The sequence below is a fragment of the Homo sapiens genome, chromosome 6 (genome assembly GCF_000001405.40).
Source record: "Homo sapiens chromosome 6, GRCh38.p14 Primary Assembly".
Lineage (NCBI taxonomy): Eukaryota > Metazoa > Chordata > Mammalia > Primates > Hominidae > Homo > Homo sapiens.
Genome location: NC_000006.12, coordinates 106,171,559 through 106,197,126, shown reverse-complemented (window position 1 = coordinate 106,197,126; position 25,568 = coordinate 106,171,559). Strand labels below are relative to the sequence as shown.

Sequence of the window (25,568 nt, the reverse complement as noted above, 5' to 3'; positions counted from 1 at the left end):
CTGCAATGAAACCCAAAACTTTGGAAGTAATGTGTTCTGTAATGATCTGTCCCCTAACAGCAGCACAATTGTCACAGACACAAAATGATCCATATTTGCTAGTCCCAAGTTTATATAAGTGGGGGGTCTCCCTTGATACATTTGTGTTTTATCTGTAAAAACTAAAGTTAACAGTTGCTTTTTAATCCAGGAAAGAGGGCTTACTTGAAATTTTATATTGTTTATTTTGTTAATGGATTCATTTGTTCAATTCATTTTTATTTCATGGTTGCCAATTTCTAGTTTGTGGGTGTGGTTAAGGAGTGCCTAGAGTGGGAAGAAATTAGTTGGGTGTTAATACTGTATTTTACTTCTTTAAAGAATTGTATAACTGTAGAACTTTCAATCTACTTTTTTTTTTTTTTGAGACTGATTCTCACTCTGTTGCTCAGGCTGGAGTGCAGTGATGCCATCTCAGCTCACTGCAACCCCTGCCTCCCAGGTTCAAGCAATCTTGTGCTTCGGTCACGCAAGTAGCTGGGATTACAGGCATGTGCCACCATGCCTGGCTAATTTTTGTATATTTGGTAGAGACGGGGTTTCACCATGTTGGCCAGGCTGGTCTTGAACTCCTGGCCTCAAGTGATTCACCCACCTTGGCCTCCCAAAGTTCACTCTCTTAATTTTTGCATGATTGTGCCAAACGTCTCTTAACCACTTAATTGCAGAAATAGGTTTAGAACACAGGTCTCCATCTCCTGGTGGTCTTTTGGTTTTTCCACTTTACTATGCTGCCATTTGTTTTTGTTTTCTTTCTTTTTAACTTTTTGGTTTAGTTTAAAATAACATTCTGAAATACTTGCTTTTTCCTTACTCTTTATTTTACTTTCACAAATCTTAGTCTTCAATTTGTGTTTAGTATCTAATCTGCCTACATGCTCTTCTCTCTTAATAATATTTCTGATATGATCTTAGGAACCTGAGTGTCTACTGTTTTTATTTTGTTTGTTTTGTTATTTTAGTGTTCCTATATATAATCCTGACCACTCTTGTTGAATTTTTTAAATGGTGATTATGAACATCAGACACGTAAATGAAAAGCATTCAAGTGCTTTGAACTGACACTCTCAGAATACACCTTTATTCTGCTCTTATACCCAGGTTACAAGACAAGATTAACGTGACCCTACACAAGAAAGGCACACAAATTTGTGAAGCTGTTCTTTTAAAAGAGATTCTTTGTTCTGTTAAATTTCTAGGCTGCTCTACGTGTACATCCTTTTCTAGGGGATACACAGTGTGACTTCCCTTGTGGTTTTTTTTTTTTTTTTTTTTTTTTAGAGGGGAGCAGTGAGGCAGCGCAGCCACACAACCTAATCCACAAACCTTCCTTTTAGGTGATTTCAGGTGCTGTAGGTGAGTACATCTGTGTGACAGACTTCTCCCCATGCAAACTGTCAAATGCTTCTCTTGACTGCAGAACACACACTTCATTGAAATGACATAGATAATGCCTATTCTTTTCAGGTATTTTTGATGGTATCTTTCATACCAGGAGGAAGCCACATCTCTAACACATCTCAGTATCTTTTCTTTAGAAAAAAACTTTTATCTTTGCTTCTTCTTTTTATTACGTATTAAAAAAAATTGTCATTTAAAAATCTATGTAGAGTATCCAAAACATCGAGTCACTGTTTCAGTAAAAAACTGTTTACTGCCTGGTTCAGTTCACCTGTAGTATTGTCAGATGTGTCAAACATGAAGCATTTTGACACACCTGCATTCAACTTAAGTTGAAAGCGAAAGACTTTAAGATTGGGTGTGTATGGATAAGAACTTGCTGTCATCACATGATGAAAAGAGAAAGTACTTCATAAAAGTTATGTGGCACCATTGTCTTCTACTCCCTACAAGTGATTCAGTGATGAAAGAATTTTGTCTGATTTCATCATATGAAAGTCAAATGTACTAGTATTTATGAATACGTGCTTTAGGTCATTGTTCTTGTGGAGTAACTAATGATGAGCTGCTGCTTGTGGAGTAACTAATGATGAGCTCTTTTGTGTGTTCCTTTCTTTTTTTGTAAATGGCTAAGGGAATTAGTCAAGTTGGAGGTAACAGGAAATGACCAAAGGTGAGCTCAGGTAAATTGTTTTTGTCGTTTCAGCTGTAGTTAAAATGACTCAGAGATCTAAGCTTCTGTGCCAGACCTGAGTGAAATATTTTTTTCTTTGTACATTAAAAATAACACATCAAGAACATTTATTTTTACCTTGGAGAATACAAAACACCTATAAGCTTTACCCAATTATACTTCATTTCCCAGTCTTCTAATGTAATGTATAACAACGTGGTAAGCTAGGCGGGTGGATCACCTGAGGTCAGGAGTTAGAGACCAGCCTGACCAACATGGTGAAACCCCGTCTCTACTAAAAGTACAAAATTAGCTAGGCGTGGTGGTGCATGCCTGTAATCCCAGCTACTTGGGAGGCTGAGGCAGGAGAATTGGTTGAACCCAGGAGCCAGAGGTTGCAGTGACCTGGAATGCGCCATTGCAGTCTAGCCTGGGCACCAAGAGTGAAACTCCATCTCAAAAAAAAAAGAAAAAGAAAAAGAAAAGAAAAAATGGTATATTCACATTTTTTTCTCCTTTGCTGTATATGATTAGATTATGTTAATAAAGTGAATTAGTTGACAAGATAAATTTTTTTCAGACATGAAGCAGTTAGAAAAAGAAACATATAAATCTCATGCTGACCGTATAAAGCAGATACTTTTAAGTATTTGGACAAAATTGAAGCTTGTTAGTATCTCGTGATTTGAGATAATATTTGAGCAATAATCACATTTGTCAGTGTGATGGCACTGCCCCCGGAAGAATAGGCACTCAGTTTGCAAACTCATGCCACAGGAATAAAAAAAACTCCAATTCCCAAACCTCATCAGATTGCGGGTTTTACAATTTCAGTAATTCTTTAGATATTCATTTAGAATTTGAATTAGAAGGAACTAGTATCTCTGTACCTTCACGCTATTTGATTTGGGCAATAATAATGCTGATTATTTTCATTCTCCACTACTGGAAATGATGACATTACTGGACTGACAGAAGATGCTTCTGGTTTCTCCTTCTGAATTATTGTTATCTTAATCTCAAGAAGTTAAATGAATTAACCTGACTGTTCCCAAAATGAGAAACACACACTTGCACAACTATTTCATCTTTAGCACTAGAAAACAAAATTCTCTTACCAAAATAATAGTATATGCAGACAGTTAAAAACAAGTTATCTTTTCATTGAAACAGGTACTATGGGGCTTCATTCTGACCATATGTAAACAGTACAATTATTGTCTATATTTTAAATAAAGCAAGTAAGTTGAGCTATTCTGTAGTTCATACTTGACAAATATTAATGGACCCTATTACACCCAACTAGAATTACTGGGTCATTTTATGAAAGCAGATAAAATAATATTGTTTTCAAAGTTTATTTATGTATTTATTAATGAACAAGGTTTAATTTTTAACTTTTACCACATTTTTATCTTATTGTCAGGAAGCTTTTAATCAGTTTTAAAATGGCCTTACAATCACTTAATTTAATACACTTTGCTTTTTATAATTACAACTGATCATATGGGATTTTTTATATTATTTAAATTTTAGTTTATGTCCTCCTTACTAAGAAATACAGAGATTATAAGCAAAAGTCAATGAAAGAATTAATATGGACATGTTTTTAAATTGTTTAAAATGTTAAGAGTCAAAGCTCTGAAAATATAATAAAGATATAAAATGTATACATGGAAAGAGATATGTGGTATATCTGGTATTTGGTATATACTATGATATTGCATGTTCATTAAGACCTGTACTGCTAAGTGAGTATGCATCCGGAAGAAGTTAATGTAAGTATTTTTAAATGGGTTTGTATTTTTCTGATAAACAGCACTCTCCTTCTGTTTGTGATCATAGGATAAAAGCCCTGTAAGCTTGTATATGTTCATTTTTACTGCTACATCATGTAGTGTGCTCTTAAGATTGAGATCTCATTCCCCAGGAAGCATTTCTGTCCAAGATTAATTGCCCTTTTAAAATCAGCGTTTGATGTATTTCTTTGGCTATATCCTGGCTTGGTTTAACCCTCTTTGACCTGACCTCGCTGACTATTACCTCCGTGGCTGAGACAAAATCCTTCAGCATGATGTATGCACTTCACATTTCAGCCTGTGGTTTTTCATGTCGATGGATTCAATTAGTTGGTGTTTTACTAATGAACATATCAGAGGTTAAAGAATTTGTCAGACAGAACAAAATTGTTCAGGCTAGTGGTAATCAGAAAGCTCGTCGCTCTATTTTTTAAAACTTCTAGGCAGTATTAAGTATTTTTCAGAAATTTTACCTTCAGTATTACACATTCCAAGATAGCAAATCAAGTCATTTTCTGCTGAATTATAAAATATAAATATGAAGCTACAAAGCTGAACACAATGGTTATATCATTTGATCTTAGACTTCTACTCCATATTTAAAGTATGAGCTTTTAAAAAATTAATTAAACTGAAATTTTCTTGTTAAAAACATGTATGAATTTCCCTTAAAGATACATCATCCATTTCTTTAAGCCTCCTTTAAATATTAATAGTAAGAAGGAAACTCAAGCATCTCACTAGAATCTCAAGTCACCTGTTTTTAAAGACATTTATAGATCATATTCCTTGTTGAAATTGGCTTAGTTGAATAAGACCTAAAACCCAGATTGGGATGAGAAAGGTAATTAGTAGCCATTAGTAATAGAAATCTTTAGAACTCAAATTTATCACACAGTGCAAGTTCTCAAATGATATACTTAAAATGTATAACATAAAGATTTTGAAAGGTTTTTTTTTTTTACCTGAATGTTTTCATCTTTTTTAAAAAAAATAACCTTACCTAAAGTCTATTAAATGATATATCTGTAGTACACTAGGGCTCATTTGACTTATAGGTGATGTGCTCCACTTGAATATATGTGTTGAGAGCACTATTAAATAAACGTGAAGGTTTCTAATACTTAAGAATTTTTCTTAATGTCATTTAATTTGCATAATCATCGAGTCTGGGTTTTTGTTGTCTTTTAAAAAATACATTTATTAAAATTATATGCCATACTGCATAAAAATGGAACTGAATAATTCAGGAGGTATTACCATGAGGCCAAATTCTTACAGCCCTTTGTATGCCAATCACATAATTGAATCCATGGTTTTTATATATCTTTTGATATATCTAGTACTAAAAAAATGAACTTATTCTTATAACGTGTGTAGGAAGAGAATTACAATCGCTCTTTACTTTTTGTTACTAAATCATGACCTTTTTAAAATGATCTTCTGTCCTCACATACTTTATCAGTTACATTTTTGACACCATTATTTTTTATTAGAGAGTGAGCAGGAGAGAGGGGTGGAGAAGAGTCACTCGTGTTATTGAGTACCCTGTGTCCAAGTCCTGTGCTAGGGTCGCTGCTGAGTACTTTGCTTGGATATCCCATTTAATCCTTCATGTAACTGGAGATTAGAATTCTTTGTTCACACTGTAAGATGAGGAAACAGAAGTTTGAGTGAATTGCTTGAGAATTCAAAACTAATAAATTATGATGGTTTACACTCTGAAAGAAATATTTTGCTGTTTAGACGTAAAAGACCCAGATACTGGAACTGGGAGACGTGTTAGTGATCCTCTACTCTGGACCAGTTTGCAAACTGACCCACAGAGTTAAATGAGAAGCTATCATGGGTTATAAATCAGCAAGCAGAACTTAGGAGATGGTCTCAATCCCACATTAGCAAAAGCTGCCATATCTTTACCTGTGTTGTATATTGGGTTTCTACATAAAATTTTGTTTGTAGAAAAATTCTACACTGGTATGATCATAAGATTCATTCTAGGGAACATTTTTAAAAAAAGACTTTACCCCAGAAATTGATTCAGAAAGTCTGGAGAGGAGCTCAGCTCATATATATGTATATATTCTTTTAATTTCCCACATGATTCTAATGGTCAGCTAGATTTTCAAACCATACATCTATATAGGCATCTTCATTTTATATATAAAGAAACAGCTTCAAAGTGACGTGAGACCTGCTCAGAGCCCTTTGTTGCCAGAACTGGAATTCAAGTTGCCTAACCCCCAATTTGTCTTTCATTAGTACCTTGCTAACTAGTGGTGCATAATTGGCCCTCTCTCCTTTATGTCTCATTTATATTATTGTATATTGATAACAGTCATTGTATCTATGTCTATATGTAAGCATCATTTTTTAATATATACATAAGAAGTTACCATTATTTTAACTTTGTGATTTCCATTAATGACTTGTGTGGTTAATGTGATTTTTATTTTTTCTTCTTATTTTTTTTCTATATGTAATTCTTACCATTCTAATCATATAACCAAAATCTACTTGAATATGTTTTTCTTAAAACGTAACTTTTTTTTTATGTTCACTTTTAAGTAGATGCTGGTTTCTAAAAGTGCTTTGTGGACATTATACAAAATAATGAGATGTACTCTTCAAAATTGTAAAGGTTAAGAAATGTAGAAAAGGCTAAAAAACGGTTGCAGATTAAAAGAGAGTAGAGAGACATAAAAATTAAATGCAATATGTGCATCCTTGACATGACCTGAATGTATCCCCCAGAATTCACATGTTAGAAGCTTAATCCCCAATGCAGCAGTGTTGGGAGGTGAGGCTTTTTGGGGGGTGTTTAAGTCATGAGGGCTCTGCCCTCATGAATGGGTTAATGCTGGTATGAAAAGGATTTGCAAGAGTGGGTTCACTGTCTCTCACACTTCCACGTTCTTCCATATGAGAACACAGCAAGAAGCTCATACCAGGTGCCAGCACTTTGATCTTGGATTTTCCAGCCTCCAGAACTGTGAGAAATAAATGTTTGTCCTTTATAAATTATCCAATTATAGCATCACAGACAGACTAAGACAGTCCTGGACTGAATCCTAGATTGAAGAAAAATACATTATTGGGATAGTTGATAAATTTGAATATGGACTACAATGAATATTTTATTATTTTATATATCATGGTATATCAGTATTTTTTATTGTGATAACTATACTGTAGTTATGTAAAAGAATATCTTATATTAGAAATGGTACACTGTAAGTTTGAAATCATAACAAAAATTACTCTCTAAAAAGTGCCCTATATAAAGAAGTTCATATAGAACTAGTTCACTTGATTTTTCTCATATGTTTGCCTAACTTAAAGCTTCAAGCTAGCTTTTTTTAAAAACCTGAGTGGGAGAGGCATACAGTAACATTTTTCTCCTGAGTCATTTTCTTTGTAGTGACATTTCTCATTCTAAGTATTAAGGTCTAGATTCCCATTTTGAAACAAAAAGACATGTTTACCAAAAATATTGTTTACTTTAACAGTATCAGGTGTTTCCTTTGTACTGTAAGAAAAAGACATCTACTGATTTTTTTTTTTTTTTACTGTTTTATTATTAATTTTTTGTTTTTACACAGGGTCTCACTTGTTACCCATGCTGTAGTGCAGTGGTGCCATCACGGCTCACTGTAGCCTTGACCTCCTGGGCTCAGGCAATCCTCCCACCTCAGCCTCCCAAGTAGCTGGAACTACAGGCATGCACCACCACGCCCAGCTAAAGCTAATCTTTGTTTGGTTGAGTTTTTTTATTTTTTGTAGAGATGGGGTCTGTTGCCCAGGCTGGTCTCAAATTCCTGGGCTCAAGCGATCCTCCCACCTTGACCTCCCAAAGTGCTGGGATTACAGACATGAGCCACCACACCTGGCCTGTTTTCTTTTATTGGTTTTGATATTGCTAAAATGTCCTTCATACTTTGTTGTTATTTATGGTACCATGAATTAAGGATAGCATATACATTTGGCTTATCTGGAAACATTTTTTACTTTGTTGTTTTAATAACCAAAACAGTCTTTACGGGTAGAGTTATTCTCCATGGTAGGGCTAGCTATCAGAAAGCATTCCAAAAACATTAATTTTGACAGTATAATTCTACCAGCAACAATATTATGCCAGCTATGAGAATATTTATTATCTAATTACTGTATATGTCAGGTACCATGCTAGGCACTGGGGACAGAGTAACAAATAAGAGAGAAACTTCGGTTTGAAGTTTCTGCTGCCCTATTCTAAGAATCCCTCTGTTTAAAATTGTGTTATTGAGGCAAGTCAGAAAATAAACAAAATACATAAATGCCGGTGAGATATTTGGACATATGTAGGCAGTGACAAAATAATATATTTAAAACCTTAAACTGTTCTGTTGAGGGATATGACAGTCTTAGATTCTTTCCTTAGTTACTTAAATTTAGTTAGTGATGCTTTTATGTTAAAAATTAAAAGTGGCCCCAGCTTCTAAACCAGAGAATCAGTGCTACTTATTCAGGGTTTGGGTAAGGGGATTTATTAGGCTTGTTACACAGTGTTTGAATAGTGCTTTTGTCCTCCAGCTTCTGTTGTACAACTCATAAACTCCAGCAATCCTTTTGTAACATGGTTGGTCTTTTGCCTTTCAGATACACTGTGCATCATCAGTGGATTGTTTACCATATTGTATTTGCTCCCATGTTTAAATATTGCTTTAGATACAGTACTTTGGATATTGAGTTGTGACTTGTTTCTTCTGCTGTTTCATAGTATACAAAGGTGACTGGCTTAAGGAAAAACTTTAGAGATAAGGAACTTTTACTCTTACACCACTATTCTTTCATTTTTTGACTCAGTGCTAAGTAGGAGGAAGATTCTGAGAATATTAAAATATTTCAAAGAAATATAAGAATATGAAGAGAATTATACCGGAAATGTTTTCAAATATTCTAAGAAAGATTTAATACAGTAAAGCTTTAGCAAACTGGAACTTATAAGCAATGAATCATTCCAGATAGCTGAGGGTTTCTCCATTTCAATACCAATGTTTAAAAAATCTTCCCAAAGTACTGGTACTATGCTTTCTATAGTATTCTGTATATAGCTTAATATTTCATTATGAAAACAAATCATTATATTAACACTATGGTCACAACTGTGTCAAATTATGTATAGGTGCAACAAAGAAAAAATAAAGCATTTTTTTAGGTTAGTAGTATTATAAAGTGATACCTTTTTTCAAAATTGTTTTAAGCTATGGCACAGTGATTTGGGAGTTTGGAATGTTTTATTTGGTTATCTTTGGAATTGTTAGTATGTTAAAGTTTTTATTTTTCACATTCTTTTATCAACTGTAGTATTTTGTGTCCTCTGTTGACTGTCACCTGGGACTGTGCTGCCTCTAACAGGAAGTCTAAATATTTCTTTAAAAGGGTCTCTTGTTTCAGGTGCCAGCCAAGTCATTATCACCATACATCATCAGCTCATTTTGCCCAGACCTTAGAGCACTTACAGATTCAAAAGTCATTTTGAACAGAGCAGAAAGGAAAACGTAGGGTATTTCTCCTTTATAGAGTTGCTTGATTCCCTGTTTCCTTGTTGTCTTCTGTCACCAGGAAGCTGAGAGGTTTAGACATTGTATTTTGAAGAGAAGGTAAAGGAGACAAACCCAGAATTGTGCTAAAGGAATAACACAAAGTTTCTTGATGGTTCTATTTTTTTTTTCTTTTTCATTAGAGGAGTTTGGCTTTGCTTTCTTTGTTTTTCTATGACAAAAATCTTTATATTTACTTTAAAAGTTGTCAGTACAACACACCAAAATCATGAAAAACACAAAATCTTAAGTTTAATTTGGAATACAATTGAATTTAAAAGAAAGGTGTAAATTTCAGCCCCCTTTTAATTAGCAAGTGGATGTTAACAAAAATCAGTCAGGCTTTATGACTCTAAAACAGGAATCCCTGAGTCAGATTTGTAATCCCTTCTCATTAAAATTTTAACTGTTATTCAAATAGTATCTCTAAGACATTTTGATACATACTTGAATGCTTTACTGAAAACAACTAAAGCTCACCTGTGTCTTACTAAACATCTCAAATACTGATCTGATTCTTGATTTCTAGTCACATTTCTATTTTACATTTTCAAAATATGTATGGACCGACTTCATGTACTTGTCATTTTTAATAACCATATATTACAGTTTTTAATGTATAACTAAAATAAATTTTGGTCATTGGTACAATGGGCTGTTTTTGCCACTACAGTTTCATTAACGTCAATCTTAAGTAAGCACAGTAATTAAGAAAGAAGTAATACTTTCACATACAGCAACAGAATTTTTATCAGAATATATTGTAACCCTCAGGTTTCTGTTTTGGGTGATACATACTGCAACATTTGAACTTTCTCCATGTCCACATTTCCTGTTCAGGGGACAAAACATGTTTAAAATCCATTTAATGCACTAAGGATTCTCAAAAGGCACCAGATTATTTTTTCTTCAACTGTTTTGACTTTTATTGTTGTTGGGTTTCTTTCTTGGAATAGATGGGGAAAAAAAGAATCAAGTGATGATTCATGGAATTGAGCCAATGTTGGAAACACCTCTGCAGTGGCTGAGTGAACATCTGAGCTACCCGGATAATTTTCTTCATATTAGTATCATCCCACAGCCAACAGATTGAAGGATCAACTATTTGCCTGAACAGAATCATCCTTAAATGGGATTTATCAGAGCATGTCACCCTTTTGCTTCAATCAGGTTTGGTGGAGGCAACCTGACCAGAAACACTTCGCTGCTGCAAGCCAGACAGGAAAAAGATTCCATGTCAGATAAGGCAACTGGGCTGGTCTTACTTTGCATCACCTCTGCTTTCCTCCACTGCCATCATTAAACCTCAGCTGTGACATGAAAGACTTACCGGACCACTGAAGGTCTTCTGTAAAATATAATGAAGCTGAAACCTTTGGCCTAAGAAGAAAATGGAAGTATGTGCCACTCGATTTGTATTTCTGATTAACAAATAAACAGGGGTATTTCCTAAGGTGACCATGGTTGAACTTTAGCTCATGAAAGTGGAAACATTGGTTTAATTTTCAAGAGAATTAAGAAAGTAAAAGAGAAATTCTGTTATCAATAACTTGCAAGTAATTTTTTGTAAAAGATTGAATTACAGTAAACCCATCTTTCCTTAACGAAAATTTCCTATGTTTACAGTCTGTCTATTGGTATGCAATCTTGTAACTTTGATAATGAACAGTGAGAGATTTTTAAATAAAGCCTCTAAATATGTTTTGTCATTTAATAACATACAGTTTTGTCACTTTTCAAGTACTTTCTGACTCACATACAGTAGATCACTTTTTACTCTGTGTTACCATTTTGACTGGTCGTCATTGGCATGGGGTGGATATAGGGCATAGGATTACTTGTCTCAGAAGCTGTCATAGAATTTCTTGCTGCCAATTAAAAAACCTGTGTTCTTTACACACTACACGTATAAATATTGTAACTGTTCATCTTTGTTGTTTTATCACTGTAAGCCTGTCAAATCATAGTATCCTAAGCATCTGTAAATGCTAATTTTGCATTTTTGGAAAAACCCATTCCTTCCAAGCTAGTGTTTTTCATTGGCTCCAGGTCTAATTTTTCACTGTGGTCCCTGGCAGCCAGTCTTTTGAAGTTTAAAGATTACCTGTCTCTTGACTGCAGTACCTTTTCTTTAATTTTTACCAAAAATATCCAGAGGTTACTGGAGTTCTTATTCAATATAAGGAAAGTTTGCTGCACTTTATTACCAAGCCTCTGGGATTTTACCAGTCAAACATATTTGTGCATTACATTTCATTTCTTGTGAGCTAGCTGGCTGTCCATATTGAATGTTGACCCATTTGAGTACGCTAAAAGGCTTACAGTATCAGACACGATCATGGTTTTAGATCCCATAATAAAAATGAATGTTTTTCTTATAAAAAATTATACAAATGCTGAAGTGAGATTCTACTATTGTTCATTGCTTCCTTTTCTTTTTCCTTTTGCGATTTTCACTGATTAATAGCACATTTCTTCACAAAATTAGATAAAGTTGGTCAAAGACCAGATATTCTGGAATGGAAATTGTAAAGCTTAATCAAAAAGAATAGCCAGTACAGCATACAATCTCAGAAACTTAGAAGCAAGTAGAAAATAATTGGTTGATGTAAACGAAAGTGCCATTTTAGTAAAGGCAGGAAAAAAATAGCAATATTTGAGTTATGTAAGGATAAAAAATCCACTGACTTGTATTTTTGCACAAGAGGCTGGTCTGAATATGATTGTTCACATTAAGAGTGTTTATTCGTCGGTTCATTTTGGGGATTTTCCCCCTTGATGTTTTGACAGATTGAAGTGAGCTTTAGTGAGCAAAAGGATCAGAATGCAGGGAACACTAAGCTGTGATGAAGAAAGTGTGGTAAAAAGCCAGAGTAGTTTTATACAGACAAAACCAGTGTCAGGCCTTTGCAGTAGGCTTGAGTGAACTTCTGATCTAGATTTGAAAGTAAATTTTATGAAGACATTGCCCATTTTTACTTCCTCATTCATTATTGTACCAGCATCATAGCTTTATTACTCTAATCCCAGGTAAGTCAAGCCTACAATGCCCTAGAGGAAGAGTAAAACCAGAAATTCATGCTGGCTTAAATAATCTATTTTTGTTTCTTTTCATTTGAATATTTAAATTTTATGGTTTATTAAAAAATTAAATAAATGTTGTGTCCGTCTTTATTTAAAACAAGTTACCTGTTGATAAAATCATTAAAATTTCCTTAGTCACAAACTGTCATAAAAGTTTCTTGGAGAAATAGGATGGAGGGATATAGAAGAGAATATAAAAGAAAATTGGAGAAGACCCCCAATATGCCTATTTGACTAATAGTAAATAGTGACCTCCTAGGAAAATACAAATACATTTTTAAATATTGGCATTGTTAACTAGGAACGAGTAAATTCAGATTAAAGTAAGTCATTGTCCTTTATAATGTTGATTTTCATTCGGATGACCTAAATTATGACCATGGAATTCAACTCTAATTGCCATTTTAATAAAGGCAGAAAAAAATAGCAATATTTGAGTTATGTAAGGATAAAAAAATCCACTGACTTATATTTTTGCACAAGAGGCTGGTCTGAATATGATTGTTCACATTAAGAGTGTTTATTCTTCGTTTCAGTTTGGGGAGTTGAACTGATAAGCACCAGGATTTTCTTACAGATTTAGGGACCCGAAGTAACTTGTTTATAGTTTAAGTTGACTTATCAGTCTTTATAGGATGATGAGGTATAAACCGTATTCCAATCTGAGTGTGAGGTGAATTCGTTTAGTGTACTAGTCTTGTTACATTTAACACTGGAAACAAGCTAGGAGTTGATCATTATCTGAGAAAACAATATATAAGCTTTGACATTGTGTGACAGTAGTTTTTAATGGTTATCTTTCTACAGTATTTTTTAATAGGCTATTTGAGGTAACCTTTTCTTCAGTTTTTAGAAATTTGGTTTATGTGGGTCATGCCAGAGAATGACAGTCTCACTTTTATTTATCATACTATTGATATTTAGGTCTGAGGTAAGTTGGGTTTCCTGTTACATGTGCCAGCATGGTTGAAATACAAATGTAAAACCTTGGGGTATGATAGGAAAATCAAGTGTGACCATATTTAGGAATATTTGAACCTATTCATTGTCGATCAATGGATGGAGTCCATCAAAATACCTACTTGCCTGAGTTCTGTCATCCTCTTGTTTCCTAAATATATTTATCTCCTGGTCTGAAAATATTAAAAATTACAGTGATGGTAGAGAGGAAAGAAGAGAGGCATGCCTCTTTTCAGATCATTTGAGATTAAGCGAAAACTTGGACATTATAAAAATTTATTTACTATGTAGCTTTATTTGACAAAAGCATCTTTCACATTATCAATCATGAATTATAAATTTGATTCTTCATGCTTACGAGCAGATATAGTACTACTGTAAAATCTAGTAGGAACAATATAGTAACCATGGAGTGAAAGACTCAATTTTTAGGTCCTTTAGGTAGCTCTTTAAGTACTTAGGTTTTTAAGTGCAAAATCATTTTTATTAACTATGTTACTGTATTAGAATGATATATAGTGAGATAAAGACAAATTTGAAGATTGAGGGATGTCAGTACGCTTTGACGTATAAGTTGACTCCTATGAAAGTGATTAGTTTGGCTTTCCCTCTGTAGCTTTCTCACCTCCACATCTCAAGGATAAATAAAGTACAACCAGGCGTTTTCCATTTTTTCCCCCAGTTCTCAGTGGAGTATATAGCACACAGTTGGTGTTTAGCAAGTGTGGAAAAAAGGATTACTTAATAACTTTATAATGAGTGTTATATTTTTCTGGTAAGAATACCAGCTATAAAAATAGAACCTTGTCATTTAGAAATCAGTATACAAAGTGCACTTGGTTCGGCCTGGCATTAGTGATGAAGACTTGCTTACTCAAATCGACTACTTTCGGTAGGAACCACTGTGGACCAGATCCTTGCGTCAGTCCACATTCATTTTAGTTGCAGTGTAGACCGCAGCACATATCTTGTGTTTCAACATCACTCTAATTTAAGCAGCCCCTAAAGCTGGAGCTATTCTCACCAAGCATCTGGAGGTATTTGTTAATTCTGACCTTTTCATAAATGAGTGATTTGTGTCTTGCTTTTGCTTAGAACTTTACTTCTGAAAATAAGAGCTATTTAATTCAACATTTCCCAAACTTCCTTGACCATAGAATTTTTTTTTCTTTCCTAGTATCACAGCTTCCTATTGAACTCTAGCATGGGAAATACTACATTAAATCATTAGCTCATAATGACCTAGAGTTTATAGCATAAATCTTACTTTTCCCTTTCTGACAACTCTTTAGCTATTTGAAAGAAGCTCTCAAGCGTCTGACTCATCTCCAAACAAAATAGCTCTAGTCTGTTCATTCCTTCCTCCAAATATCTCCCATTTTGTCAGTGTCATTCTTGAAATTCATCTGCCAAGTATATACTGTGTACTGAGTAATACATGCCAAGTCATGTGCTGTCCTCAGGGGATGGAGTAGTTTAGGTTTTCATAATGCCAATATTGGATGCATAGTCTGGCTGCTCCGTAGTGCCATAATCTGACAGATCACATCCAGGGTGAGATTTAGTGAAAGGGCTGGGAATTAACCATAAGTTCTGTTTATGAAACATCCATCCAAATATAAAAACTCAGGCAAATTGTCAATGGATTGGAGAAAACCTCAATTCATAGGTATGAGTAAGTAGGAATTCAAGGGGAATATTTGCTCTCAGGGAGTTGCCATAAAACTAGCCAAGAGAGCCATGGAGCTGAAATATGGTATTCTGTTATCAGTCACCAAGATCCCCAGATAGAATGCGGCTGAGGTCAAGCAGAGAGGGACTGGCCTCACAAATGGGTGGTTTTCTGTGGTACTGGCACATACAGCAGGTATTTCTGATCTCTAGCTGTACTTGTTTGGGACTTGATGACTTTGTCTTTTTGTGTTGCCTAGTGCATATTTTCCAAGTAAGGTACGCTGTAGAAAGCTCACATCTGTAAGGTGGGTTTTGATACTCTTGTTACTCAAAACTGTTAGTTTTTAGCTTTCTTTTACAAAGACAGTCACTCATTGACCTAGAAACTGTCTGACCCCAACGATTTTGTAAAAGCCAAGAGAAATTTGTTATCTCCTGACTACCAGTCTTTTTTCTGCATATGCCATCTCAACCATGTCTTCCTGAAGAGTTTGGTCATGCTCACTACCTGTATTTCCATGGCTCCTTTTGTCATTGTTTTGAAATTCATTATAATGTAATATGAAATGTCAACTTACCCTGATGTTTCTTGTACTGTATCGATGCTGATATTCAGTGAAGTATGACAGAGCAAGTTATTGATGACATCTGAAGGTATCACCAGGTCTTGGAGCCAACTTTAAAAAGTGAGGGAGCAATTAAGTAAAAACTAAGTAATTTTTGTTTCTTATTTATTTTTTTTTTGAGACTGAGTGTCACACTGTCGCCCAGGCTGGAGTGCAGTTGCGCAATCTTGACTCACTGCAATCTCTACCTCCCTGGTTCAAGCGATTCTCCTGCCTCAGCCTCCCTAGTAGCTGGGATTACAGGCACCCCCTACATCCAGCTAATTATTTTATTTTATTTTTAGTAGAGGCAAGTTTTCACCATGTTGGCCAGGCTGGTCTCGAACTCCTGACCTTGTAATCTGCCTGCCTCAGCCTCCCAAAGTGCTGGGATTACAGGCATGAGCCACGGCACCCGGCCAAAACTAAGTAATTTGTGGACTGGATAGTGCATGCGATATTGGAGCAAAAAAATAGAAATGCCTGATGGGTTGCGATTGTCAGTAATCCAACTCAGATATACGGTGGACATCTTTAATTCTGGGCAGAACATTTAGAACATCTCAATAAAACCAGCTCTAACTGCTAATTCTATGATAGGCATATTGTCCTAGATTTTATAGAATTCCACGATTCATCTGTTTATTCAAACATTTGTTGAGCAAATAGAGTAGTGGAAGTTCTAGGAAGAACAAGACATGGTCTGTTGATCTTAAGGGACCTTCTCTTCTTACTAGAGAAGACAAAAATAACTGTACAACATAATACTTGGAAATTGCAATGAGAAAGGCGCAAATAAAGCACTATGAGGAAATAGAGCCGAGAGACCTGTTTACTTTGAGTTACCTTTGATACCTTGCTTGGCCTCTCAGCAGCATTTGACATTTGATCACACCTTGTTTCACTCTTGAAACACTTTCTTCACTGGGCACCACACCCTTCTGGTTTTCCTCCTAACTCAGCACCTTTCTCAGTTTCCTTCGATTCTTCTCTACTTTGACTCCTAATGTTGAAATATCTCAGGGCTCAGCCTTTGGTTCCGTTTCTGCAGCTACACTCAGTATATGAGCACATCCCATGGCTTTTAACACCATCCCTGTGTTAACTCCAGTATTTACCTCTCTCCTGAGCTCCAAACTTAATACCCAACCACCTACTTGTCATCCATCTCAGATAGTAATAGTTCACCTTTTTTGAGTGGGGGTAGGGGGTCAAAGTAGAACTCTTGCTTCTCCCCCAAACCTATACCTCTCCCTTTCTATTCCATCTGAATAGATGCGACCTAGTCATTCGGTCCCAAAATGTAGGAGTCCTAATTTAATTTCCCTTCTTTTCTCACCTATACCATAGCCATCAGTGAGTCCTGATGAACCTGCCTTAAAATATACTCTGAACCTATCTACTGACCACCTTCACTGCTACCATGTAAGTCTAAGCAACCAACCATCATCTCTCACCTGGACTACTACAGTAGCCTCTTATCTGGCCTCCCTGCTTCTTTTCTGCTCCCCTTCAGTCTTCTAAGTATAATGTGTTTCTTCAAACAAATGACATCGTGGCTGTTCCTTGATCAAAACATTTCAGCATCTTTCCATTCCACCCAAAATGTATCTAAGCTCCTTACCAAGTTCTGCTTCATCCGGTCTCTGCATCTGACATCTGTCACGCTGCCTTGGCTACTTCAGTGTATCTACACTTGCCCATCTTATGCCTTGAATATGTCAAGAACATTCTCCCTCCAGGGACTCTGCACCTGATGTCATCTCTACCTGGAATTTTGTTTGCCTGACTTGCCTCCTCCATCTGTGTATCTGCTTATATGTCACCCTTTCTTATAGGCCTTTCCTGACCACCTGATCTAAAATTATACCCCAAGCCCACTTCCAGACCCACCTCACTCTTATCACTTTATATTTCTTCATCACATTATATCTCCTCTTCATAGTATATCTCACTCTGAAATTATGTATTTGTTTGTGGCTTTATAGTTAACAGTTATGGAATGTTTACAGTGTCCCACACACTGTTCTAGGTGCTTTTCGAATATTAACTCATTTAATTGCAGAGCTATATGAGATCATCACTAGTATTGTCCCCACAGGGAAACTGAGATACAGGACAAGGAACTTTCTCAGCATCATGATAGAGTTGGATTGAAGCCCAGCAGAATGGGTCCAGAGACCACACTCTTACCCACTTCCTGAATTGCCTTGCCTTATTTTTGATCTCACAACAGACAATAAGTTTGAGGGCAAGGACAACTTCTCTTTATCCCCACACTTCTGGCATATCACAGGGGGTTATTAAGTATTTATTGAATGAATACGTTTTGATAACATTCGAGTAGGTTAGGAAAAGCTTCATTGAAGAAGTGGCTTTTGAGTTAGAACTTGAGGAAAGGGTAAAATTGGAGAAAGCGGGAAGAAAAGTGTGTGATGACAAGCTAGGTGGAACCACAGGAACAAAAACTCAGAGGGATGGTTGTACAATTGGGCTGCACCTAAGTCACTTGTAGGAGACAGGGCAAGATAAAACAGGAAAGGTATATTCTGACAAGATTATGAAAAGCCTTGAGTATCAGGCCAGGGAGATGAGATTTTATTTGAGGTGCAATAAGAGCCACTGAATATTTTTAGTAGTTAGATCATGTGCTCACAGCTACCTTTTAAGATGCTGACTCTGGTGGCAGTGTGCAGGGAGGTTTAGAGTTAAGTCTGTTCTAAACCTGGGAGAACAATGACAAAGCTACTGTTACTTGCTGAGCCAGTGGTTTTCCAGCCTTTTTTCAGCAGGAAAGTGTTCTTCAGTAAAACCTTGCTCAAATATCCAGTAGGTCAAAGAGGAGCTTCTCTGGTTGAAGCGGGGTGGCTGGCCCAGAAGCTGACCTGCCAGCACCCTCTTGCCTGTTATGCCAGCCTTTTGGGAACCTGTTCAGGATCTCTGTGCCCCTCAGACAACAGATTGAACAGCTCTTGCCTGGCCCTGTTGATTATAATAAAGTCTGATGACCAAAAGCAATAATGTCAAGAGTGGAAAGGGACATGGAAGAGAAAATAGAGGAAGAATCAACTGAACAATATGGGAGACCTGGAAGGAAGAAGTCAGTGGTGATAAAAAATCTTATGAAATGGGAGATTAGTTACCCACAAAAGAATTTAGTTGGGAAAAACAGATGATGTGTTTAGTTTTGAACCAGGATTAAGTACTCAGACTTGAGGTGTTAAGACAGACAGGGGTTCTCAGTGTTGCCTGCCCTTCCCGATTACTTGTGGAGCTGTTATCAAAACTACACATTCTGTACTCCACCCCCTCTCTTGCAGCTGGTTGAATCAGTTTGGGCAGGCACTAGGTCTCAAGATTTGTGTAACACTTCACTAGTGATTCTTATATGCACTACTAAAATGTTGTTGGCATAGAATCATCAGTGAGCATTGTAAATGTGCAGCTGCGGCTCCTGAGATCAGGGCTGGAAATCATCACCCACCTGGAAGGGAGGGTTGGAGCCAAGAGTTTGGCATGGAATTGAATCAGTCACACTTGCCAATGGCTTTCACATCTTTCCCCCTCTCCCCATCCTCGCTGCAGATTCATTCAAGCCACTAACATCTCTTCCCTGTTACAGTGGCCTCAGAACTACAGTCCCTATGCCCCTTTAATTCCTTTCTCCTTCTGGCAGCCAGAAAGAGCATTTACAAATTCAACTTAGGTCCACTTTTTCTTTCTTTTTTTTTTTTTTAGATGGAGTCTCGCTCTTGCCAGGCTGGCGTGCAGTTGCACGATCTTGGCTCACTGCAAGCTCCGCCTCCCAGGTTCAAGCGATTCTCCTGCCTCAGCTTCACGAGTAGCTGGGACTGTAGGCAAGCACCACCACGCCCAGCTAATTTTTGTATTTTTAGTAGAAATGGGATTTCACCATGTTGATCAGGATGGTCACGATCTCTTGACCTTGTGATCCGCCCGCCTCAGCCTTCCAAAGTGCTGGGATTACAGGCGTGAGCCACCGCACCCGGCCAAGGTCCACTTTTTCTCTGCTGTTTGAAATCTTTAGATGGATTCCTTTTGCCATTAGTATGAAATCCAAAATCCTTACCATGATAAAAAGCTTTGCAAGCTCTGGATCCTCCCCACTAGATGTTTTTTTCTCCAATTCTCTTCCTCTTCTTCATGATCCAGCACACCACGCCTCTTTCAGAGTGTCAAACACAATACTGTCCCTCGTTCCAAACTCTTGCCTCTACTGTTTCCTCCCTTGAATGTCTCTCCACTTCCTTTTGCTTACTAATTTCTAATCATTTTTTCCCTCAATTCCCCTGGACTTTCCAACTGGCCAACTCCTTCCTGGTAGGGTTGCCACAACATAGCAGATAAAAATACAAGACACCCAGGTGAAGTTGAATTTCAGATAAACTAGAAGTAACTTTAGTGTAAGTATATCCTGTGCAATATTTGGTACATATTCGTACTAAAAAGAATTTGTTGTTTTTCTGAAATTCAGCTTCAACTGAGTATTCTGTATTTTCTCTGGAAACCCTACTTCCTGAACTAGATTTGGTTAGAACTAGATTTGAGCTAGATTTGAGCTAGAATGACCTAGCTCCCCTAGCTCATTCCCATTTGTATTAATTGCCCCATATCTGTGTTTTGTGGTATGCTGTAAGTTCTGTGAGGACAGGGACTTGGTCTGCTGTGTTTTCACCAATGCTTAACACAGTGCAATGGCATGTCACAAGCCTTTATTAAATGAATGAACACAATGAGAGGCTTGGAGTTCCAGTGAAAAGGACAGGGCTGAAGATTCTGTCTGGGAAGTTTTCTGCCTGGAGGTGACCTTTGAAGTGGGAGGGGTGGCACATAATAAAAGTATAGAGTAGAAAGAGAAGAGGAGCCCTTGGACTGACCTGAGGGGACTACCTATGCTTGGGGGACAGAAAGAGGAAGAAGGGCAGATCTTTGAGACAATCATGCTAAAGAAAGAATTCACAAACTACAAGAGGATCCAGGGAAATAGTAGACCAGGTCTTTGGATTTGGCAGTTTGGGACCTTCGAGAGAACTGTTCTGAGTCTGATAGCTGTCAGGTTGCTGATGACTCTTAAGAAATTTAGTAATGGGACAAAAAAAAGATAAGACTGTAGCCCAGCTGTTAACATGGTGGAGAGAAGGGAGACCTGCCTCATTGTATTGGTGAAAGGGAAGGGATCAGTGGACAGAGAGGGTGATTGTCCTGGGGAAAGGGTCATGGACAGTCTGGGAAGAAGTAGAGAAGATAGATTAAGAAAAGAGGCCGAGGCAGGTGGATCACTTGAGGTCAAGAGTTCGAGACCAGCCTGGCCAACATGGCAAAACCCTGTCTCTACTAAAAATACAAAAGTTAGCTGGGTGTGGTGGCAGGCGCCTGTAATCCTAGCAACTTGGGAGGCTGAGGCAGGAGAATCACTTGAACCTGGGAGACAGAGGTTGTAGTAAGCCAAGATCACGCCACTCCACTCCAGCCTGGGCGATAAGAGTGAAACTCCATCTCAAAAAACAAAAAGAAAGAAAAAAAAGAGGAAGAATGTTTCACAAGTAAGAAGGAGGATGTAAACGATTATTACAGTCATTCTTGATAAGTTGGTGTCCAAAAAATCACACCGTTCTTATTACTAAAGATTATATACAAGGTTCACTAAGAATATAACCTGAATTTGAACATAGTAAAGGTTTCTTAGCCCGGAGATTCTCGAACTTTTTTTTGAGAGAGAGTCTTGCTCTGTCGCCAGGCTGGAGTGCAGTGGCGTGATCTCAGCTCACTGCAGTCATCCATGATCTCAGCTCTCAGCTCACTGCAATCTCCGCCTCCCAGGTTCAAGCAATTCTCCTGCCTCAGCCTCCTGAGTAGCTGGGATTAACAGGCATGTGTCACCACACCCAGCTAATTTTTTTTGTATTTTTAGTAGAGACAGGGCTTCACCATGTTGGCCAGGCTGGTCTCGATCTCCTGACCTCGTGATCCACCCGCCTCCGCCTCCGAAAGTGCTGGGATTACAGGTGTGAGCCACCGCGCCCAGCCTGAGATTCTCAAGCCTTAACAGACATTGGAATTAGCACTTGCAAGATTTTGATTAATTAGGTGGGTCAGGGCCTAAAATCATTTCCTACAAACACCCAAGCTGCGGGTCTTAGATTTTTTTCATTCTTACATCCATTAAACTTTTTTTTTCCCCTCCTTTTTAAATTGGCAACTGAATATAAATGTTTTACATTTGGCTTAACCTTGTAGTGAAATCCGTAAGAAAAATTGAACATCTTTTCTCCTGAAGTTAGATGAAATGTGATCAAAATACATCTCACAAATGCATTCTAGTTTTAAATAACAAAACACTTATGTGAGCCAGGTGCAGTGGTGCATGCCAGCAGTCCCAGATACTCTGGGGGCCGAGGTGGGAGGATCCCTTAAGCCCAGGAGTTCGAGGTGAGCCTGGGCAACATAGCAAGACCCTGTCTCTAAAAAGTTAAAATTAAAAATGCTTAATGTTTATCTCAAGCATTCATTCCCTCAATACTAAGCAAGAAGGAGTTTTCTTTGGCATTTGAAACTGTATTGTTTTTGGAATGTGAGAAAATAGAAAATTGCTTAAATGCATAATATGATATTGATGAAATACTTATCTGTAGTTAATTACTAATCATTTATTTGAGAGATCTATTTTTGTTGATAATTACTTATTTGAGAGATCTATGTTGATTCAAAAGGAATTTTAAAAAGAAATATTTTCTTAAAATATTTTGTGGGTGTTAGTATGATTCATTACTAATGGTTTAGAGATGATTTTAAAATATTTACATTAAACAAAGTAATGCTTAACAGAAAAGCACCATATAGTCACGTGTCAGTTAATGAGGATACGTTCTGAGAAATGCATCATGAGGCGATTTCGTCGTGTGAGCATCATAGAATGAACATACACAAACATAGATGGTATAGCCTACTACACACCTGAGATACCTGGTCTAGCCCATGGCTCCTAGGCTACAAACCTGTGCAGCATGTTACTGTACTGAATATTGTAGGCAATGGTAACACAGTGGTAAGTATTTTTGTATCTAAACATAGAAAGGTACAGTAAAAATATAGTAGTATAATCTTATGGGATCACTGTCATGCATGCAGTTTGTCATTGACCCAAGTGTTATTATGTAGCCCATGACTGTGTTATGCAAGTGTGCTATTTACAGCGTAACTGTAGGATTTATCTCTTTAATGAATTCCTAGTTTAGAATTTATTAATCATGATTTCAGTCGTAGTGCATTTCTGGCACTTCATCTAAAACCTCATTCGAAGACGATATTAAAATGAGCTCTTCACAGGCTCATTGGCCTACCTATCAAACCATGTGCTAGATCTCACAGAAAGCAAAAGGCTCAAAGAGAATTCAAGCATAAATCAAAAGAAAGAGTTTCCTGTAACCTGTAGCCAAAATTCAAAGTTTTCTTCCTTTGGAATCATTCTTTTTAATTTATGTTTTAGTTTCAAATAGGTAGTACATGTGCAAAATTCAAAAGTGAAAGTCTCTCTCTCTCTCTCTCTCTCCCTCCCTCCATCCTGTCCCTTCTTCTCAGAACTCCCTTGTGTTAACCAGTTTCTTGTATATTTTTCAGAGAGCTGCTAGGCATTGTGACATGTGTTTATGCATGTGCGCATGTGCACAGACAGGATAGTTACATACTATACTCACTGTTCTAGAAATTCTTTTTTTCACTTTGTATATTTTAGATATTATTTCATATTGGTGCACATAATTTACCCTGTTATTGTTGATAGCTGCATAACTGGGCATGGTTCTTCAAAATTTTTCCAACATTTGAATATTTTTTATAAAGTTATATGTAAGTGAATATGTTTAGCATTTAGGACCATTAAGGAGGAATGTCTGGATGCCTGCAGGGCAATTCAGCGTCCCTCTAAACTGTCTCCTTACATTTCCAGAGACCATCTGGAAAGCTTTGAAGCCTCTGCTAACTCCATCCCATGGTGCTGAGTCCCTGCTGGTTTTCACAGAACACTAGAACACAGCTGGGAGAAGATGCCAGTCACTTCTGCTTGTCAGCAGACCTACCCATTAACACCATCAAGAAGTGCTTCAGGGAACTAAGTTTATGTCCTAGGACTTTCATACCTGTGGTTGAACATTAGGGCCATTCAAAAGCAGTGCTAACATTTGCATGCTTTCTAATGATGCAAACATAATTACTGTGTACAAAAATGCAAATCCAGCAGGCATCTGAGAGACCTAACATAAAAAAATTGGCTCTGAGGTTCAAGTGGGGCTTCCAGTAGGCACTCCTTATCCATTTCTCCAGTCACTCATCTAGTCAACACATATTTTTAAACATTTACTATGTTCCAGGTACAGTTCTAGGTACTAGTGATATGATGATTAAAGATAGACAAGGTTCCTGCCTTCGTGGAGCTTACATTCAGTGGGGAATATCAGACTCCACCTTACAAAACCAACTAGTCTGTCTCTTTCTCATTCTTGTCATCACTTTCTCTCATACTCCTTTCTCTCTCTCTCTCTGTCTCTCTGCTCGCCCTCTGCCCCCGCAACCTGTAAAGCCCTGTGCTTTGCTCATGATTTTCACCACCCAAGATGTCTTTCCTTGTCTAAATTCATCTATGCATCTTCCAAGTGTTTTTAAGTATCTTTGTGCCCAGCAGGATTTGTAGTGCTTTGTGGGTGCTCCATAAAACCAACTGAATGAAGGTCCTGCTCTTGTTAATAAGGCTCAACTTTTTTTAAGTGAACTTTTTTTTTTTTTTTTGAGACAGGGTCTCACTTTGTCACCCAGGCTGGAGTGCAGTGGCGCAAACACAGCTCATTGCAGCCTCAACCTCCTGGGCTCAGGCGAACCTCGCACCTCAGCCTCCTGAATAGCTGAGACTGCAGGTGTGCACCAACATGCCTGGCTAATTGTTTTCCATTTTTCGTAGAGATGGGGTCTTGCCATGTTGCTCAGGCTGGTCTCAAACTCCTGGGCTAAAGCGATCCTCCCACTTCGTTCACCTGTAGTGCTGGGATTACAGGCACGAGACATTGCACCTCATCAAACTTTTAATTTTAGAACAGTTTTATATTTACAGAAAAGTTTCAAAGATAGTAAGAGAGTTCACACATACCTCTTACCCAGCTCTCCCTTTTGCTAGGATCTAACGTTAGTACATTTGTCACAGTTAATGCACTAGTACTGATACATTATTAATAACTAAAGTCCATATTTTATTCTGATTTCCTTAGTTTCTTCACTAATTTCCTTTTTCTGTCCAGAGTTCCATCTAGGACACCACATTGTGTGTAGTTGTCATGTCTTCTTAATCTCTGTCTTCTTTGACGGGTTCTAGTTATTTTTAATGAAGCTTTGACAGATGTGAGGAGTACTCGTCAGGTATTTTGTAGAATGTCCCTCTATTTGAGTTTGATGCTTGTTTCATGTCACACTGGGTTTATGGGTTATTGAGAGGAAGACCACAGAGGTGAAATGCCCTGCTCATCACATCACATTGTCAGGACATGGTATCACATGAACATCACTAGGGAAGTCCACCTTGAACGCCTGGCCAAGGTACTGTTTGCCAGGTTCCCCCACTGTTTCCCTACTCCATTGTTCAGAAGGAAATCGCTAAGTGCAGTACTTCCTCCCCTCAAGAGGGTAGGGTGGGATGGGGAGAATAAGCTATATCTCCTTGAGGGTAGTAAAGGTTGTGTATCCCTTA

The 25,568-nt window shown here is 37.2% G+C and overlaps 1 protein-coding gene across 9 annotated transcripts in view, besides 1 other annotated feature; it reads left to right on the top strand.

Annotated features, from left to right (window-relative positions):
* Window positions 1–12,651, top strand: part of ATG5 (autophagy related 5) — a 141,285-nt gene extending 128,634 nt beyond the window's left edge. For all 9 annotated transcript variants that reach the window (NR_104403.1, NR_104402.1, NM_001286111.2 and 6 more), the window contains one exon: window positions 10,451–12,651. Coding sequence is in view for 5 of the 9 variants with exons in the window: in NM_001286107.2 (NP_001273036.1) it covers window positions 10,451–10,587 (137 nt within the window). In the remaining 4 variants the exon portion in view is untranslated. The remainder of the gene's footprint in view (window positions 1–10,450) is intronic.
* Window positions 14,493–14,542: a silencer, noted in NCBI's record as "silent region_17430". NCBI's record gives its function as "represses an Ori minimal core promoter by ATAC-STARR-seq in GM12878 lymphoblastoid cells {active_cell/tissue: GM12878}" and the evidence as "EXISTENCE:reporter gene assay evidence [ECO:0000049][PMID:35858748]".